General features: G+C 55.4%; 1 protein-coding gene across 22 annotated transcripts in view, besides 1 other annotated feature; it reads right to left on the bottom strand.

Annotated features, from left to right (window-relative positions):
• The window catches only part of PRKCZ (protein kinase C zeta), a 136,892-nt gene that overhangs the window by 104,240 nt on the left and 11,718 nt on the right, over nt 1–20,934 (bottom strand). For 7 of the 22 annotated variants that reach the window (NR_146911.2, NM_001350804.2, NM_001350806.2 and 4 more), the window contains exon 1: nt 7,227–7,492. The exons of 11 other annotated variants lie outside the window; for them this stretch is intronic. Coding sequence is in view for 3 of the 11 variants with exons in the window: in XM_047425283.1 (XP_047281239.1) it covers nt 6,389–6,476 (88 nt within the window). In the remaining 8 variants the exon portion in view is untranslated. Of the gene's footprint in view, nt 1–6,388; nt 6,524–6,880; nt 7,086–7,226; nt 7,493–20,934 lie in introns of those variants that run through there. 4 more of the 22 variants (NM_001350805.2, NM_001242874.3, XM_011541774.2 and 1 more) reach the window with 2 other exon arrangements.
• Nucleotides 17,758–17,927: an enhancer, noted in NCBI's record as "experimental_1556 CRE fragment used in MPRA reporter constructs". NCBI's record gives its function as "activates a minimal promoter by MPRAs in K562 erythroleukemia cells, with activity observed for both the introgressed and non-introgressed 1:1994753 variant alleles {active_cell/tissue: K562}" and the evidence as "EXISTENCE:reporter gene assay evidence [ECO:0000049][PMID:34662402]".

The following is a 20,934-nucleotide window of genomic DNA, read 5'->3' as shown; positions in this document are numbered from 1 at the left end:
CAAAACTTGACATCACGTATGTAGCTCCTCACCTCTTAGGTGTGGGCCACGCACGCCTCACTCCGCAGACAGGACAGCACGGGGGAAGAGGCACGGGCAGGTGTGAGCCGACAAACACACCGCGGCCAGGTGACACGCAAGGCCAGCACGGACAGGCTGCGTGGAGGGTGTGGACCTGGACCCAGCGATATAAGGAGGCTTCACCTCCTCCCAAAACACAAGGCCCCAGTCCTTATGAGAAAAACATGAGGCAAACCCCAGCGAAGGGCTGTCCCACAAAACACCTGACCAGCCCTCCTTAAAACTACGAAGGTCGTTGAAAATGAGGCAAGTCTGAGAGACCTGCCACAGTGAGAGGGACCTAAGGAGACGTGACGGCCAAGTGCCACGTGGGGCCCTGGACGGGATCCTGGGACAGAAAGGGGGCAGGAGGGGAGACTGAGGCAAGCGGAATAAAGCCTTAGCTGGAAAGGTGCCGAGACTGGCTGGTGAAGTGTAACTCACGCATTACGCTGACCAGGAGGGAGCAGGGAGGGAATGCTTGTGCTCTACTCCTGTCCTGATTTTTCTGTAAATCCAAAACTGTTCCAAAAACTGGTCTTCCCACCACCCCACTGAACGAGGGGGTGACAGAACTAAACTACCTGGGTCAAGCATTTGAAAACTGCCCCCAGGTCGCACGGGGGGCAGCATCAAGGAAAAACAAACAGAGGGGCCTTTGCCCTCCTTAAAACCCTGCACCACACCCTCCGGCCCCTCAGGATGCAGAGCAGTGGGACGTGCTGGTCCACACCTGCCACGTCCACGCGCACCGCCACGTCCACGCGCACTGCCCCTACCTAAAGACCTTCTCCAACTCTGGTTTTCCTGCATACTTTAGCCTTCAGAAAGCGTCATCACGATGGTTTCCAGGTGGACACAGCAGCTCAAACACATCACTGACTGACTCTCCCTCCCAAGACCAAAGGAAGAAAAACTCCAAAAAACCCGTAACAGCAAAGAGGAGGACAGGCCGGGTAGTGGATGCCCTGGGACCTGGAAGGCAGAGGGCCCCGTGGCCACCAGGAGACTGTACTGGGCCGAACCCCAAAGAAGGGCCCCAAGTCAGAGGCTCCAGGTAGCAGGAAAGTGGGGCACCTGCTGTGCAGGGTCCCAGTCAGTGAGGAGTCGACCCCCAGACCCCCTTCCTCACCCAAAGCAGCCAGGGAACGAGAGGGCTTGCGGGGGCAGCAGACTCCTTACTAGGGGTGAGATGCCCGGCCCTCCCAGGCAGGACACTCCCCTGGGGACTTCCGCCACCACCAGCTCTGTGGTGCCCCACGAGTCAATGTGGGCAGACAAATGCGGGTCACCAGGGGCCCAGGAAGCCGCAAAGGCCAGGACAAACACAAAAAGGGACTCTCGGTGAAAACAGCTGAGTACGAGGCCAAAGAAAACACCAAAAGGAGACGTTATCACCAACCGCTGCCAGCACACATGCTCCCACCATGTGCCGCCATCAGCAGCAGCCGCGGGGCCAGCGTTGTGGCTTAGTTACTGGCTAATCCCATGATAGCCTTGGGAGCCAAGCCTTTTACCATCACGCTCACTTATGAGGGTCCGGGACACGGTGGACAGCGTTGTGGCCGAGGTCACGTGGCTGGTGGGCAGCAGAGCTGGGGCCTGACCACGCAGCTTCAGGCCCTGGGGCACGCGGCAAATAGCGTGGGCTTAAGCCCAGCCCTTGGGGTTTGAGTCCCAGCTCAAACTGTGCGATTCTGGGAAATTTCTTGACCTGTCTGTGCCTCAGTGCTAATCTTTACCCAGAACAAAGAAAACAATGGTGCCCACAAGGAACTGAGAAGATTAAATGAGTTCACACGCGGGAAGCCTCGCAGCCATGAATGTGCTGGGTGCTGCTCAATCACCACATGATACCGCGGTGCTTCTCAGCCGGGACGAATAACCCCAGAGAAAAAGTGCGATATGCCTTTGACACAAGGGCAGGGCACTCTGCCTTAAAAAGGCACCTTCAGGCCGGGCGCAGTGGCTCACGCCTGTAATCCCGGCACTTTGGGAGGCCGAGGCGGGCGGATCACAAGGTCAGAAGATCGAGACCATCCTGGCTAACACGGTGAAACCCCGTCTCTACTAAAACTACAAAAAATTAGCTGGGCGTGGTGGCGGGCGCCTGTAGTCCCAGCTACTCAGGAGGCTGAGGCAGGAGAATGGCCTGAACCCAGGAGGTGGAGGTTGCAGTGAGCCGAAATCACGCCACTGCACTCCAGCCTGGGCGACAGAGCAAGACTCCATCTCAAAAAAAAAAAAAAAAGCCACCTTCAGAGAAAAAAGATCGAAAGACAAGAACGGGAACAAGGCAACAAACTAACAAACTTAACAGATGGTTTGGACAGAGAAACCTGAAGATGTCTCCTAGCATATAACATAAACAAAGAAATGGAAAATAGAGAAGAAAATTAAAGGACCAGCCTGGGAGGGCCAACAAATAATCAGCGTTAACTCTAAAAGAGAGTCAGAGACGGGGAGTCGGCCATGTGATAAATAACTGGGTGTAAAGCTCCTCACATCCAAATGTCGCAAGGTTCCACAGCACGAGTTCCCAGCACAAGAGACAAAGAAGTTTCCACGACAAGGAACATTATCATGAAACTTGAGAACCCTGAAGACAAAAGATTCTACAAGACTTTCAGGAGAAAAACACACAAAATCAAAATGGCACCTGACTTCTCGGTCACACAAGAAGCCAGAAGACAGTAGAGCGATCCCTTCGAAATGCAGAGGGAAAATTCTTTCCAATACAGAATTTCATACCTAGCTAAACTATCCTTAAGTGTGTGGCTGGAGGAAAAGCATTTTCCAACTAGATCCCCCAAACTGGCCTCCCACGCCATCTTTCTCAGACAGCTGCTGGAGGGTCTTAACCGGACATTAAGCCAAGAAAGAGGAAGAGAGGGAGCCAGAGATCAAGACTGTAGGCAGAGGAGAGAGGAGGGGACTGTTCCCAGCTCGGGGCACAGGGAAGCCCCACGGCATGTTGTGTGGGGGGCCAGGTGCACCAGGAGGGAGGTGAGGCAGGCATCGGTGGGAGCTGCCCCTCTTCTGGGAAGAGGAAACTGGAGTAAATTTGAGACAAGACATCTAGGAAACTGATTTAAACAATCACAATGTATTAACTCCAAGGAAACCCAAAAGTTGTGCCAACAAGGGAATGCAATCATGGTAGCTCATGCATATTCACGTCACCCGCAATTAGGTAAACACTCAATGATTAAAAACAATAAACAGTGACATAACTCCATCAGGAGGATGGAACAAGGAAGGAAGAGATGAGCTGATGTGTCCCAGAGAAAGTAGGGAAGTAACATCCTAAATGGAAACGACTAGAAATAGCAGCAGAAATGTGTCATTTAGAAATCTGGAAATAAATGTCAAAAAGAAACTGCTGTGATCCCCTCCAGGGAGTGGAGCTGGGGCAGCAGGGAGGACCAGGGACACCTGTTCTCTCTTTGTGAGTCCCACAGAACTATCAACACCTTACAATAGAAAATATGGAAAACTCAAAATAAAATTTTAAATATAATGTACAATGCAAACTTTATACACAACCATTTAACAAGGGCAACAACACAATTTCCTGACCAGGACAAGACACCAGGCCTGGCCTGTCTACACTTGACACAGCCTCACGGGATTCTTTCAACAATCAAGGTTCGCTGAGGAACAAACAGAAGAAGCCATCTGGGCCCACGATGCGGCTGAGCTGCCAGTGCACCTGGGTCCCCACAGCCCCAACAGACACAGGGCGGCTCCGTCTTGCAGTCGGTTGAATCTTTTCAAACTTCCCACAGAAGAGACGTTCAAAAAGAAAACTTCAGAAAGACCAGACACACTCAAACCCCCTATTTCAAAATAACATCAAGTCAGGGCCCCTTCCACCCACCAGAGCGCGTGTAAACTCTCCTGTGTGCCCGATACGTGAGCGTGGACGAAACGAAGCCCCAGCACCCTCACACCCGTCAGACGTGCTCACAGCACCGCCAGAACAACCGGCAGCAGGGATCTGTTCGTGTCAACTTGGTGTCTCGCCTCTCCTGACTCTGATCCTCTCTCAGGGGGAACAACAGACCTGTGGGCCCACCAAGGCTGCCCCACAACGGTGGAATCACTGGTTCTGCCTGGAGGCCTCACAGAGAAGCAGCCAGTCCCGAGCATGGTGGGTGCCCTCCTTCGCGTGTTCAGGAGAATCCTAGAAATGAGCTGCCGGGCCCCGATGCGTGGAGGGGCTCTGCCACAGCGTCTCCTGTATGAGTGACAAGTGCCACCACTTTATGACCAAAAACAAGCTGAACACTGGACGACCGACTGGTTCAGGTGGCTTCTTTTGAATAAAGCTTTTCCTTTTTTTTTTTTTTTCAAGATGGAGTCTCGCTCTGTTGCCCAGGCTGGAGTGCGGTGGCGCAATCTTGACTCACTGTGACCTCTGCCTCCCGGATTCAAGCGATTCTCCTGCCTCAGCCCCCTGAATGGCTGGGATTACAGGCGCTCACCACCACGCCCAGCTAATTTTTGTATTTTTAGTAGAGCCGGGGTTTCTCCATGTTGGCCAGGCTGGTCTTGAACTCCTGACCTCAGGTGATCCCCCACCTCGGCCTCCCAAAGTGCTGGTAATACAGGCGTGAGCCACTGTGCCTGGCCTGAACAAAGCTTTTTCTGCCCTTTGCATAAAATGACAAACATTTCTGGAGGCCCAGCATCATGCCAACCCCAGGGGCTGGGAGATGGGGATGCCTCAGGGTGCCTGTCCAGCCTGTGCTGTGAGGGACGGTGGGAGCAGTGGCCGCACGTTCCACTTCCCCCTGCCATGTGAGGGAGGTGGGGAGATGGCCAGGGAGTGAGTGGGCGCCAGGAGACCAGACCTGCTGAGCCCACACTCGAGCACCACGACCAGCACAGCAAGGGACCTGCTCCTGGTTTTTCAGATGTCATCACACTTTCCCACAGGCTTCCCCTCGATGGCACTGGGCACCCCCTCAGCCCCGGCCCCAAACAGCCCATTCAGGGGCCTGGCCCTGTGACAGCTCCCTGCCCAGCTCCTGGGAAAAGCTCCACGCCAGCACAAGAAAGGATGGCTACCCCACATTTTGGGATCCTCAGCAGAGGTTGGTGCCTGACCCCATGGATGGTCCTCCCGCCCCCCAACAGTTCAACCTCCATGTGCCCGGCTGAGTCCTCGGCGATCAGAAACGTGTGGCAGATGAGACGCAGCCCCCGCTGCTACACACACGAGAGCAGGTCACAAGCACGGGAACTTCTCAGGATGCTCAGTGGGCCTCTCCACTGGGGCCATTGACAGCCCTGGCAGGTCCCCACCAGACCCCGTGGAAGGTCTGGGGCACCCAGTGTGGATGGGCTGGGCTCTCAGGCACCCTGTGGACACTGGGCTGACAGATCTGATTAACTGGGAGCCTCGGAAACATCGCAGCAGAGCCCGGAGCCCAGAGGTGAGTCTGGGAGGTGGGACCAAGCTCGGAGTTGGGCAGAGGAACACACAACTCCTTACATAACCACCAGTGGCTCTGAAGTCTAGGAAGACGGTCGGAGAAGGGCCCCCACTGATGGCTGATGCAGCTGGGACAGGAACGCGGAAGATGTGTGCCGATCTGGCCGAGACACAGACACAGGTACCACAGCCGGCCCCGGCAGCATCAACACGAAACAGCTTCTGGGGGGCAGCCGGTGGCCCCTCCAATCTGTCCCCATCCCAGCTCTGACTCACCCACCGAGGGCCATCAGACCAAAAGCCAGTAACCGCTCGAATCCTGACCCTGGCCACGGCGCTCCCACCCCAGCAGTGTATTCACACCGCAAGGGATCGTGCCAGCTGTGCATGGCCAGCGTGGGCTCACACGAAAGCAGAGGCCAAGCCGTCCCAGGCACCGAGGAAACTATGACACAGCACGTTTCTCCTCGCAGGCAGGCGCACGTGTGAAAACCACCCCAGCTCCGTCTCTCTCCCACTCACCCCATCAACACAGAATCTTCATCACTCAAGGACCCCTGCGGCCCAAGCTGGCTGTGCGGAGCAGCCCTGCGTCTGCTGAGGTCCCTTCGCACCTGGGGGAGGGGCGCGCTGCCAGCCTCCCCAGCAGCCAGCACCCCCCGAGAGGGAAAGCCGCCTCCCCCAGCAGCCCAGTCCCCACCTTCAGCAGCCCAGTCTCCCCAGGCCCACGGCTCCCCACAAGCCTGACTGGGGAGGCTGGTTGTTGTTTTGGTTTTTTGTTGTTTTTTTTTTTAAAAAAAACACCTTGCAAAATGGTCGTCAGAAAAGCACCCACATTCCCACATCCCTGCCAAACACCATGCAGCCCCCAGACCCCTCCGAGTCTACCTCCAACCATTTCAGAATAGAAAACAGGACGCCGCAGCCCCGCTCCTCGCCACCATCCGAGGACCCCGATGGAGTGAGCCGTGCACATTAACCCTGGCTGTGCCACCCAGACTCCAACCCAACACTGTCAATGCAAAACGGGGGCTCAGACAGGCGGGAGGGCAGGCTCGAGACGGAAAGACCGCAGGCCTGGAACAGGTGCTGGCTGTTACCACTACCAGCCCTGGCACCTGGGGTCTCCAGACTTCACCCGTGGTCTCATCAATCTGCCCACCTGCAGCAATGCAGAATGGAGACGAAGCGGCCATCCGTCCTGGCCCCGACAGACCCACAGACCCACAACCAAAAAGCATCGGCCACAGTGAAACTCCCAACAGCCAGCAACTCCCTGGGGCCAGGCAGGCAGACGAGCCCAAGACGATTTCCCCAAGCCCCCCGGCCCCCAGCCCTCCACAGCCACCGCCACACATCCACCAGGCCTGGGCCACACACCATCCGTCCTCGGGGTGAGCATGTCCCTCCAGCAGCCCCTGCCTCGCTCAGAAGGTCCCTCCACAGCCTTATTTTTCTAAAAATCTGTCACCCGCAAAACAACAGCCTCTCACTGCGTTTCCCCTGACATTGCTGGGAGCTGCTGCAGCCGCACGCCTTCCCCGGGCCGTGGCACCAGCCGTGTTGCTGCCCGGAGCATCTGTGCAGCGCACAGGCAGCGGCAACGCCGGGACTCAGACCCAAAATGCTGACTCGGGCACCGTCCTCCGCACGCACAGGGCCTGCAGCACGGCTGGCCCGGCCCCGGGGGCGCGGAAAATCCACGGGGGAGATGCCCCCGACTCACCGGCTTTCTTCTCCTGCCTCCTCAGCGCAGATTCTTTATGCTCTGTGCGCGGCGGGCGTGCAGGGAGGCATCTTCCTTCCCGTTGACGAGCTGATGCTGCGTCGGCTCGCCTCCGGCCCCGACAATAGGCAGGGAGGCTCGAGCGCGAGGAGCAGATATTTAACGGAAGGCCGGCTGTCCTGTCCCCCGCCCCTCACATCCCTGCCTCCTCATGTCTCCAGGCCCGGGTGGTACCCGGCTCCCCCGGGAAGCTGTAGCCAGCAGCTGAGGCACAAACTAAAACACGGCATGGATGTGCAGGAGCTGACGCTGACGTCACAGGAAAACAAGCATCTCTGCATCAGCACAGTCCAGAGAGCGGGCGGGCAGCAGCCAGACCCAGGCAGGGCTCGGACTCAGCGGACCTTGAAAATGCGACATCAGAACAGAACCCAGCTAAGCCCGGGGTCCTGCAGGTTGGCCTGCCAGGCTGGGAGTGGGGGACAGCGCAGCTGTGGCCGTGGCGAGTGACCTCTGACCTGCGTCCAGAGGCTGTGAATGGGCTCGACACCAATGGCCAAGGGCCCCGAGCACTGTCCCGCAGCCCAGGAACGGAGCGGGAGGAGAGGAGGCATAGGGGCCTTGCGATGTGGTTGTGTCCACCCCACAAACCCCACCAGTGTGTGTGGGGACGGTGGGCACTGGGGGGCAGGAACAGGAAAGGCCAAGCTTCCCCAGGCTGAAAACTGTCCCGGCTGGCCTGGAAACGCACACCCTCAGCCTAAGGCAGGAGACACCCGCATTCCCAAGACCAGACCTCACGGGCTGTGCTGTGCCTGGCTGTGGCCAGCCCGGGCTCCTAGGGAGACCCAGAGCCGCCACCGCCGCTGGGTGGCCTGACCCTCCAACCCCTACCCTGGTACCCTGACAAACCCTGGGACCTGGTCATCACTGGCAAGTGAGACCTGGCATTTTCCTCCAATCATAAAAAACATGGGGGGTCGCGGGGTGCTCAGCTGGGAATTCTGCCCACTTCCCCAAACGCACTCGGCACTCGTGCTGAGCCTACATGGGCCGCTTCGCACTGGGGGTGCAGAGGGACAGAGGGGAGTGTCCTGCAGACCTCTGGCTCTGACCAGTCACACCACACGCTCCCTGCATTCATACGTGCTGTGCCCTCGATGCTCCAGCACCTATGGCCCTGCTGACCCTGGAGGGACGGCCCCGAGAGGCCAACCGATTCCTAGAGACAGCAAAGGACTTGTCCCACAGCGAACCTTTCAAATGCAAACCCACCAACCCAGAACTCTCACCTGGGCCCACCTCCTACACGGGCCCCCAGTCGCCCCAGGGGCCTCCCCAGGTCACAGGGACAGCCCCTGCACCCCAGAGCCTGGCTGAAGTTACTCCACCTGGCCGACCCAATGCCTGCTCCCCACACCTTTCCCATGGAAACCACAGTAAAGGCCCCACCCACACATCCCCCTGCCTCCAACCCACCCGGCGCTTGCCCGCATGGCCCCGCGAGGCAAGAGGAGGTCTCCTCTCAGAAGCTGAGTAATAAACGACCTTCTCAACGGCATCATCTCCTGATGGCTGGCCTCCCACACCTGCCTGAACAGTAATAAAACCTCCATTTAAATCATCAAGCTCATAAACCTGTGTTTATCTGCATTCACGGAGTGGACTCCGGGCCAGAGCCCCGGGTTCAAATTCCAGCTCTGTCAGCAGCTCACCACGAGGCACGGCCACTTCTCCAAAGGGCCAAGCTTCCCTCGTCAGGCGGCTGACCAGCTGCATGAGGGGCATTCCGTAAAATGTGAAACATATAAACCTAACACATGCGTTTCACTCGACTTCCCAAATCTATGGGGAACGAGGGCTGGCAACCTACACTGCCTAGTGCTCCAAATCAGCAAGCTAGGATTTCTACGCTTTTAATTGGCTGAATAAAATGAAAAGGATAATATTTTGAAACACCGGAAGAGTCTATAAAATTCAGATTTCAGCGTGCATAAAGTTTCACTAGGACACGGCCATGCACCTCCTTGGGTGCTGCCCACGCCTGCTCAGAACCCCAGGCTTCAACTACCTGGCCCTGGACAGAAGCAGCTCGCAGACCCCTGGCTAGGCCTATAAAATCATAAGACCACCGAATACCATGGCCACGCTGAGCTCCCACAGGAAATACGCATTTATCCTGGTCCAGTGTAAACTTCACACAGACGGCCGGCTCAGCAGCACGACCACTGTCCTTCAGCCAACTCCTCTCTTCTAATCCATCCCAAAATATCCAGCTTTGCAGAACTCTAGGATATTCAGGCTCAGCAGGCAAATTGCCAATTTTATTAGAAGCCTATTTTAGGGGGAAAACTAGCTTTTCCAGTTTGTTGCAAATAATTTGAGACAAAGCTGAATGAAACTGGATTTTTTAATAAAACAATAGACATACCTATAAATACCAGGGAATCACAGGCATCCGTTGATAGGCTTCCGTGGTAACCCGCCCACCCAGGCCTGGAGGACACCAGCAGCGTCCCCACTGTTCCACAGGCGGTCGCGCAGCCCCACTAGGTTTGGCCGCCTCCTCTCAGACGCCGCCGGGGCCTGGAACACACTCGGTGGGGCCGCTCTCTTCCCACTTGACCCTCCCTGGGTGGGAGAGACGGCAAGACGGCCTTGCTAAGCACTTACTATGTTCCAGGAGCTCCTCTAAACCCTGTCGAGCCTCACAAAGCCCCCTTTTACAGAGGAGGAAACTGAGGCACGGGGCACGGGGAGCCCCACCCACATGCCTGAAGTCACAGCGCAGGCTCCCTGCCGGTGGGGTTTGAACCTGGCAGTGCAGGCGCCCCCCTGAGCAATCGGCCCCCGCATTGCCCAGGTCGCACGCCCAGGTGTACTGGCTGCTCCCAGCAGGCGACTCCATGGTAGCCCCGGGCCCAGCACCCTCCACGTCCCTGTGGGGATGGTGTCCCGGCCAAGGACCCCTCTCTGCCCTAGGCTACAGGGCTATGAGGGCGGGAGGCAGACGGGCCAGGGGATGGATCTGGGGATCCCGCCATTGCTCCAAGTGAGACACTACAGCCAGAAGGCCCCGGAGCCTCAAGAGCCCCTTCCCCTTCCTGGCCCACCCCGGCCCCCGCAGCCGAGGACTGTCCCCCGCCAGCCCCACCCCAGCCCCTGCAGCTGAGGACTGTCCCCCGCCAGCCCCACCCTGGCCCCCACTGTGGGGTCAGGAAGGGCCCCTCCACGGCCCCCATGGCTCCACCCACATGGCTGCAGCCCCTTCCCCTGCTATCTGCCCCAGGACCACCGGCCCGGGAGAGCCCAGGTTCCTCCACTTCCCCTACACAGGCCAAGGCGACTTTGCCACCCTTGCATCCAGAGACCTGCTATTAACATCCCTGGCCATGAAAACCTCCCGCTTGCCAAGTAGAAATGGCCTTGGAGCTGGGTTCAGGGGCTGAGCAGGGAATATACCCAGAGGCAAAGGCAGTAGTCACGGTGTCCTCCCGGCCAAACCCCAGGGGTCCCACCAGACCCAAGGGGTGAGGCTCGGGAGGGTCCCAGCTGCCTGGGGCCTGACCCAAGCGTTCCAGGCTCCAGAAGCCACTACCGGGACCACCCTAAGTGACAAGATGGGCTACAGTGGGGTGGGGCTGCCTGCTACGGGCAGAATGTGGAATGTAGGACACCTTTCCCCAGGGTGCAGGCTGGAGCAGGGTCCCGCTGCCCGGGTATGCCATCTGTGCTGTGGACAGGCAGGAACCAACAACATGAAATGCACAGGGCAGCCAGCACTGGCTCTGATGACCCCGAGGACACCACCAGCTGCTAAGTGGGGTCTGCGGCTGCCCAGCCCAGCGGACTTTGTATTTCCTCCATGGACTCTAAGGACCTCGGAGGCCTGGTCCAGCTGACCATCCAGCGCTGCCCTCAGCAGGGTCTGGGTGCAAAGCCAGGCTACCCCCGGCACCTCCTCCACAGGGCGGGCACCCTGAGTCTTTACCACACACCACAGGGAGGCCAATGGGGCCTGACTGGGGACCACCCTGTCCCATGGACGCTGCCCAGGCCTGAGGCTACCCACTTAGGAGCCCCAGAGCCTCTGGATTGCAGCAGCAGCAGAAATAACCCCACCCAAAGGAAGACTGGGGCTGCTGCCTATAGCATCCACCCCTCCCTCCACATGATGGGCCCGGCCATCTAGAAACAGGAAGCCCCTGGAGCCAACACGGAGGAGCCAGGGTGTCGGGAGGTCCCTCGCTTACTGCCAGGGTTCAGGGGACCGCCCACCACCCACCAGGGGAAGTGGCAGAAAGGGCCCTGGCTGTCGTCTTGACATCTCCCTCCCTGCCACGTCCACCTACTGTCCTTTGAGACAGGTATCAACACTCGCTCCAATGGGGGTCTGGTCCTAAGCACTTTTACACACGATTTTATTTACAATCACCCCGTTTTACAGGTAAAGAAAAGGCACCACTAAACAGGTCGTTTGCTCAAGGTAATGGCAACGTTCTGGTTGGTGGAGCCCCAGGAACTTTCTGGACACCCACTCCCTTTCCACTCCATGCCCCCTTGCCCAGGACCCTCCCTGCCAGGTACAGCAGCCTCCACTCACGGGGGTTCTCCAGCTGCCCATCACCTCCTGGACCACGCCTCCCAAAGGGACCACCATGGCTGGGGCCTGCAGCTGGGGCTGGGTCCGGAGAGGCCAAAGGCTAGAGGATCTCAGTTTCAACAAGCACAGCACGGATGCAGGGGAGGGCTCTCCCGGGCGGGGCTGACGGAGGTGCCGGGGGTCGCATTGGTTGGGGTGTTGCTGGAACACTAAGGACAAGCGACTGCAGAACGGACGCCGTTCAAGATGTGGCTGGCGGGGTGGTGACCAGCAGGAACCAGGCCACGTGTCCCCGTGGCAGCCGGCAGGGTGGTGACTGGCGGGAACTGGGCCACGTTTCCCCAACTCTGAGGGGAGGCTGCCCACCCAGGCCTCCCTTCTTAGAGGGGTCCGAAAGGGGCGTCAGTCTCAGTTCCGCTGAGCACCGGCTGGGCCTGTCCCAGCCAGAAGAACCTACAGAAGAGCCACCTGCTGTCTGTCCTGCCAGGCGCCGGCCCAGCACATGGTCCCAATGACCAGCGCCACTGGCAGCACGAACCTCTCACGGGGCGGGGGCCTGGGCAGAGAGCATTTCCTGGGGACAGAGCCCACCCACAAAGTGCTGGTGGAGACAGACCACCCAGCACTCCCACCAGATCAGAGGCAGACCTTGATGTAGTCAACTGTGGTGCGTTGAGGATGGGCCTCCAAAAAGACAAGTCCATGTCCTACTCCAGAAGCTGTGAGCGTGACCCTCCTTTGGAAAAGGGTTCCTGCACGTGTGATTAAGGCCAGGTCTCAAGGTGAATGTCCTGGACTGCCCTGGTGGGCCCCAAAGCCGACCACCGGTGTTCCAGTGAGAAAAGACACAGACATGGGGGAGGTTCAGGGTGACAGGCCAGAGGCTGGAGTGATGTCTACAAATCAAGAGTTGACAGCAGCCCCAGAGCTGGGTGGCCAGGAAGCAGGATGCTCAAAGCCTCCCAAGAAAGCCAGCCCTGGCCACACCTTGGCCTGGGTCTGCAGCCTCCCAGCTCCAGCTTCCCCTCTGGGGTGGGGGTGGCAAGGAAGGCGGGGGGTCTCTGAGAGTGGCCCTCCCACATGGCCGCATCGAAGCCGGGCCGCCCCACCCCTCCCTAGCGATGCTCTCCCGTTACCAGGGCCGGGCTGTGGCTTGCAGCTGGGGTCTGCCCCGGAGGAGCTGCTCGGAGGTCTTTGGATCCAGCCTTGCTCTCGCTGCTGCCCCAAGGAACGTACTGCTGCCTCTCACAGCAGATGTGGCTCAGGCCGACAGGGCCGCCACACGTCCAGAGTCCCGTGGCCTGAGGGATCTGCTGCATTTCGGGCTGTGAGTCTCATCTGCTCAAGTCCAAGAGAAGGGCCCCGTCCCAGGTCAGCCCAGGTGCCAGCGGATGCCACCCCAGACACAGACAGGCAAAGCAGCTCAAAGACCAAAATGGAAGAAAATATATTTGTATCACTAGGGGAAGCCAGAAGGAAAAATATTAACAGATTTGAGTATTGAAACAAAAATCACACATACCATTTCTGTGTGACCAGATACAGCAAGGAGGGGCAAAGAAGAGGTACCCGGGAATCTACCGGCCACACACTGGCCTCACCCGGCACTGCAGTGAACGGACAGTGAAGATGGAGAAACAAGCGGGAGAGGGGCCCGAGGCACCTGCGGCCCCTCATGCGGACCCCCGTGCCACCACCCTCATGGGCCCTGGGCAGCCCGGCACACGTGGCAGCAGGTGGAGCCCACAGACCCCAGCTCCACCGCCCGATTACTCCACCCCAACACCACTGAGGCCGCCACAGATGCACACAGGGGATCCCCACTCGACCGGGGCGTGACCAGCCCTCACCTCCCCCAAAAAACCAGGCGCTCCTGATCTCATCACACGCTCAGCCCCGAACGACCCAGCCCCCACCAGTGTCCATCAGCAGAGGAACGGACAGACAGGGTGAATCGCATCACAGAATTCATCCAGCCATAAAAAGGAATGAAAAAGCAACTAGGGAGAACACGTAAAGAAACAGAGAACTTGAACAACACAGTAACCCGCATAGCTCTGACAGACACAGCAGAGCGCTGTACCCACAGCGGCTGCACACCCTCAACGCACACGGGACGTTTTCCAGAACAGAACACAAGTGAGCCACAGACTCAGCCGCGGTAGATTTCAAAAAACAGACATTATCCAAAGTATATTCTCCAACCACATCAAGATGAACTTAGAAATCAGTTAACAGAAAGAAAACAGAAGAATTCGCAAATATATGGAAATAACACTACACACTCAACCAATGGATAGAAGATGAAACCACAAAGAAAATCAGAAAAATGCTGAGAGATGAATGAAAACAGAAACACAACATATCAACATTTCAGGGATGCAGGGAAAGCAATGCTAAGGAGAAAATTTATAGTGATGAACTTTTTGTGTGTGTGAAACACAGTTTTGTCATGTGGCCCAAGGCTGGTCTCCAACTCCTGGCCTCAAGTGATCCTCCCTCTTCAGCCTCCCAAAACACTGAGATTACAAGCATGAGCCATGGCGCCTGGCTATGGTGATAAATATTTGAAATAAAAAAACAAGAAAGATCTCAAATTAACAACCGAATTTTACACTTCAAGGAACCAGAAAAAGAACAAACCAAAAGCTGGCAGAAGGATGGGAATAATAAAGATGAGAGCAGGGCCGGGCGCAGCAGCTCATGCCCGAAATCCCTACACGTTGGGAAGCCAAGGTGGGTGGATCATCTGAGGTCAGGAGTTCGGGACCAGCCTGGCCAACATGTGAAACCACATCTCTACTAAAATTACAAAAATCAGCTGGGTGTGATGGCATGTGCCTGTAATGCCAGCTACTCAGGAGGCTGAGGCAGGAGAATCACTTGAACCCAGGAGGCAGAGGTTGACATGAGCTGAGATCGAGCCACTGCACTCTCTCCATCAGAGAGACAGACAGAGAGAGAGAGAAAGAAAGAGAACCTCCCAACAAAGCAAAGCCCAGGGACTGATGTCTTCACAGGCAAATTCTACCAAACACTTGAAGAACTAACACCAGTTTTTCTCAAACTTTTCCAAAAAAATTAAAGAGGAAGGAACACTTCCTCACTCATCCTGTGAGGCCAGCACTACTCTGACACCAAAGCCCAACAAAGTCACGACAAGAAAGCCTCTGACCATTGAGTCTTAAGAACATGGACATAATTATCCTTTATTAACACAGATGTAATTGTCCTTTATAAACACGGATGTAAAAATCCTCAAGAAAATACTAGTAAAATGAATTCGGCAGCATATCAAGAAAATTACACACCAAGAGCAAGAAGGATTTTTTCATGGGATGCAAGGATGGTTCAATGAATGAAAATTAAAGTAATATACCACATTAACAAAATGAAGGTAAAAAAAACACATGATCGTCTCAACTGATGCAGAAGAAGCATGTGACAAAATTCAAAGCCCTTTCCTGATAAAAACAATTGACAAACTTGGAATAGAAGGAAACTATCTCGACATAATAAAAACCATGTATGAAAAACCCACAGCAGACATCACACTCAGTGATGAAAACCTGAAAGCTTTTCTTTGACAATCAGGACAAAGGCAGGGATGATTGACCACACCACTTTTTTTTTTTTTTTTTTTTTTTTGAGACAGAGTCTGGCTCTGTTGCCCAGGCAGGAGTGCAGTGGCACGATCTCCGCTCACTGCAAGCTCTGCCTCCCGGGTTCAGGCTATTCTCCTGGCTCAGCCTCCCGAGTAGCTGGGACTACAGGCGCCTGCAACCACGCCCGGATAATTTTTTGTATTTTTAGTAGAGAACGGGGTTTCACTGTGTTAACCAGGACGATCTCGATCTCCTGACCTCGTGATCCACCCGCCTGGGCCTCCCAAAGTGCTGGGATTACAGGCGTGAGCCACCGCGCCCGGCCGATCACACCACTTTTATTCAACAGAGTAGTGGAATTCTAGCCAGAACAATTAGGCAAGAAAAAGAAATACAAGGCATCCAAATTAGGAAGGAAAAAGTAAAATTATCTCTGTATACAGATGATATGATCTTACATGTAAGAAAGCCCTAAAGTTTCCACAGAAAGTTGTTAGAACTGATAAATTCAGCAAAACAGCAGGCAAAAAAGTCAACACACAAAAATCAACTGCACTTTTATACACTTACAATAAACAACGCAAAAGGGAAATCAAGGAAACAATTCCACTTGCAACAGCATCAAAAAGAATAAAACGTTTAGGAATTAACCAAGGGGGTGAAAGACTTGTACAAGGAAAACTGTAAAACACTGCTGAAAGAAATCAAAGAAAACATAAACAAACAGAAACACACTTCAGTTCATGGATTGGAAGTCTTCATACTGTTAAGATGTCAGCACTACCCAAAGTGATCTACAGAGCCAATGCAATCCCTGCAAAAATCACAATAATGTTTTTTGCAGAAATAGAAAAGCCTGTCCTAAAATTCATCTGGAATCTCAGGGGACCCCAAAACAATCTTGAAAAGGAAGAACAAAGCTGGAGGGCTCACACTTCCTGATTTCAAAACTTCCTACAAAGCTACAGTGATCAAAACAGTGTGGCACTGGCTCAAAGAGAGACACAGAGACCAATGGACTAGAAGAGACTCCACAAATGAACCCTCCCATATATGGTGAAACGATTTTCAACAAGGGTGCCAATGCAGTCCAATGGGGAGTCTTTTCACCAATGGTGCTAAGAAAACTGGACCTCCACATGCAAAGGAATGAAGTTAGATGCTTACCTTACACCACATACAAAAATTAACTCAGGATAATCCATGACCTAAACATAAAACCTAAAATTATAAAATCCTTAGATGAAAGAGAAGGGGAAAAGCTTCACAACATTCGATTTGGCAGTGATTTCTTGGATGTGACACCAAATACACAGGCAACAAAAGAAAAAAACATTAAGCAGGATTTCAGGAAAATTTTAAAACTTTGTCCATCAAAAGGCACTATCAACAAAGTAAAAAAACAACCCACAAAGCAGGAGAAGATATTTGCTAATCATATATCTGCTACGGGATTAACATCCAGGACAGAGAACTAGTAACACTCACCAACAAAAAAACCAAACAACCCATTCAAAAATGGACACAGGACGCGAAAAGACATTTCACCAAAGAAGACACAGAAATGGCCAACAAAGCCGGGCACGGCAGCTCACGCCTATAATCCCAGCATTTTGGGAGGCCGAGGTGGGTGGATCACTTGAGGTCGGGAGTTCAAGACTAACCTGGCCAAGATGGTGAAACCCCCAACTCTACTAAAAATACAAAAACTAGCTGGACATGGTGGCGGGTGCCTGTAATCCCAGCTACTCAGGAGGCTGAGACAGGAGAATCATTTGAATCTGGGAGGCGGAGATTGCAGTGAGCCATGATCGTGCCACTGCACTCCAACCTGGGCAACAGACCAAGACTCCAACTCAAAAAAAAAAAAAAAAAAGAAATGGCCAACAGGCACATGAAAAAATGCTCAACATCACTTATCACCAGGGAAATGAGAACCAAAACCACAATGATATGCCACCTCACGCCCATAAGATACTGTCAAAAAACAGAAAACGACAAGAGCTGGAAAGGATGCGGAGACAGTGGCGCTCGTGCACTATTGCAGGGGGTGGAAAATGCTGCAGGCACCATGGGAAATGGCACGGCGGCTCTTTAAACAGAATTATCGGCCAGGTGCAGTGGCTCACGCCTGTAATCCCAACACTTTGGGAGACCGAGGTGGGCAGACTGCTTGAGCCCAGGAGTTCAAGACCAGTCTGGGCAACATGATGAAACCCTGTCTCTACAAAAAGTACAAAAATTAGCTGGGCGTGGTGGCACATGCCTTTAGTCCCAGCTACTTGGGAGGCTGAGACAGGAGAATCGCTTGAGCCCAGGAGATGGAGGCTGCAGTGAGCCGAGATCGTGCCACTGAACTCCAGCCTAAGCGACAGAGCGAGACGCTATCTCAAAAATAAATGAATAAAAATAGAATGATCAATGATCCAGCAATCTCACTTCCGGGTCTACACCCAGAACTGAAGGCAGGGTCTCCAGAGGTCACTGTGCACCCGTGCTCACAGCAGCATCATTCACGACAGCTAAACTGTGGAAGTCACCCGTGTGTCCACTGACAGAAATGGGTAAACAAAATACATCCATACAGCAGCCTGCGGTTCAGTCTTGAGAAGGAAGGAGACTGTGACACAGGCTACGCATGGCTGCGCCTTGAGGACATGGTGCTGAGTGAAATAAGCTGTCACAAAAGGACAGATCCTGTGCGATTCCACTCACAGGAGGCCCCTAGAGTCACCAAAGTCACAGAAACAGAAAGCGGCGGGTGGGTGATGGGGGCTGGGGGAGGCAGAATGGGGAGTGAGTGTTTCATGGAGACAGAGGCTGAGTCTGGGAAGATGAAGAGAGTTCTGGAGATGGGCGGTGATGATGACTGGACAGCAATGCGAATATCGAATACCAGTGAATTGAACCTTTAAATTTTAATGGCTAAGATGGGGACAGGCTCGGTGGCTCACATCTATAATCCCAGCACTTTGGGAGGCCAAGATGGGTAGGTCACTTGAGCCCAGGAGTTCGAGACTAGCCTGGGCAACATGGTAAAACCCCAACTCTACAAAAAGAAAAACTCGGCCAAGTGTGGTGACACACACCTGTAATCCCAGCTACTCGGGAGGCTGAGGCATGAGGACCGCTTGAGCCTGAGAGGCAGAGTAGTAGTAAGCCAAGATTGTACCATGCACTCCAGCCTGGGTGACAGAACAAAACTCCGTCCCCCCTCTGCCAAAAAAAAAAAAAAAAAAGTTAAGATGGCAAAAATAGATGTTATGTGCATTTTACCAGAATAGAAAAAAGATCTGCAGCGCCAAGAATGCCCCATCATGGATGAACCTTGGAAAGGTCAGGCGGGTGAAAGCCACTAGAGGCAAAAGGACAAACATGCAGGATTCCACGGACACCAAACGTCCAGAATCCGCAGGGCCACAGAGACAGAGGCTGAGCGGAGGTGGGGCTGGGGCAGAACAGGGAGTGACCGATGACGGGCACGGGGTTCCCTTTTTGAATATATTTTGGGTTTGTAACTACATAGAGATGATAGTTGTAAGTATACTTTAGAATTTTTTTAAAAATCTATAAAACCAATTCACTCATATAGACACACATAGAATGTGCCAGAAGGTCCTCTGCTGACGGTGAGACAGGCACGTCCAGCCGTCTGAACCAGGCCCACGGTACAGCCGCAGTCCTGCCCTCGTCTGCCTCTGGCGTGCTCCATCCACTGTACACACCTCCCAGTCCGACCCTTCTCACTGACCCTCAGCCTGGGCAGTGCTGCCTGAGGTCAAAAACACCTGTGAACACCCCCACAGGCGCTAAAACCACAGAGCCCCAGGCGGCGGCCACTGGCAACCAGAGCAGGGTGTCCTGTCTGAGATGAGCACCACAGTCAGAGTGAAAGAAAGCACAGGACATCAGGGAGAGCGCCAGCCCCCTAAGCCCTGGTGGCCTGGGACCCCGAGTGGGCAGTGTGTTCTCACACACTCCTGACACTAGCGCCATGAAACCCAACCCACGTCCGGGTGGACATCAGCACACAGGGCAGGGCAGGGCTCCCCACCCCCAGCACCCGCCTCTGACCTCCTCGGCAAAGGCTGCCCCAGAGGCTCTGGCGGAATGTCCCCAACCAGGCTGAGTGGTCCCCGAAGCCGTGGAGCCACCCCTGGTAAACATCTCAAGGACCTACTCACGTGTCCCAGGAGGTCCTTCCTCGGGGCTTGGCCACATTCTCCGCATTCCCCACGGTGACTCGGCTGCCACCCCCATGACACACTCCCCTTCAGAGCTCAGGCCTCTGGACATCCTGTGACCCCCCAACCTCCCCTTCCTCCACTGCAGTGGCCGAGCAAATGCGGGCCTCCCTTCCCTACGCAAGGCCGGCAGGTTGTCCACACGGGCAGAGAGGCAATGCCGAGGTCGTAGACAGAAAGAGCAGACCCCAGGCCCCCAGGCAGGGTTGAGACAAGAGGCAGACATGTCGGAGAAATACGGTGGGCTTCCCCCGCGCCCAGGGGCTACACTGGCCGCATGTGGATACCTCTGGGAGTGCACAGTCTCAGCACACATGGGACAGAGGAGCACAGTCCTGTCACCAAGTCAAAAAATCACCCAGGTGGCAAATAAACACGGCCCGTGGGTCCCCTCCTATAAAGCAGCAGCATGAGGCTGCAGGGCGCTGTGGAGGGGACAACCATCGTCTCACCCACAGGGAGTATCTGTCCTATTTATGTGTTTATGTATCTATAAAAACGCAGTGAACCGTGCCCTCCCAGGGTGCGTGCTCCAGGGTCCGTGAGGCGTGGGCACCCAGAGGGAGGGTCCCGGGAAAGGTCACCACCAGGGCAGCTGCGTAGGTGATCAGGGCCCTGACGCCCACCGTCTGGCCACCTGCCTCCAAAGCCTCCCCGCCCCCTGCCTCCTCACACTCGCCCTGCGCTGCCAAAACCACCTGGTGGTGTCCGCCTGCCACGGACATACCCCATCTCCTCCTGCCGGCAGGTCCAGCCCCAGACCACCCGCTCCATTCCTGCCAGGGCCCACCTCCGGATGGCTCCTCGGCCTTGCCGGCCACGGTGCAGGGACCCCGGTTGGCTGAGGGCCTGGAACCGGGATGCCACGCCGCCCTCTCCCCGGGCAGATCATGGAAATCCCATGGCTCCTGGGGCCTCCCCTACGCTAAGCGCTGCCAAACCTCTATTCAGCCCCACTTCTCGCTGGAAGCCGAGACTCTCGCCCCCTATGCTAAGCACTGCCAAACCTCTATTCAGCCCCACTTCTCACTGGAAGCCAAGACTCTCGCCCCAACTGCCCACTCACCCTCTTGGCCTGAATCTGCTCCCACCCCCAGTTCCCGCCCAACACAGGGCACTGCCAACACCCAGCATCCAGCCTGAGGCCAGCGAGGTGTGTGCCCTGGCAGCAGGGGTGGGGGAAGCCCTGCCTGAAGGGCACTGAGCCACGTGCCCTGCGCTGGACAGGCAGCGGCCTCGGTCCAGGAGCTCCTGCC

The sequence above is a fragment of the Homo sapiens genome, chromosome 1 (assembly GCF_000001405.40).
Source record: "Homo sapiens chromosome 1, GRCh38.p14 Primary Assembly".
NCBI lineage: Eukaryota > Metazoa > Chordata > Mammalia > Primates > Hominidae > Homo > Homo sapiens.
This window is presented reverse-complemented; position numbering and strand designations above follow the sequence as displayed.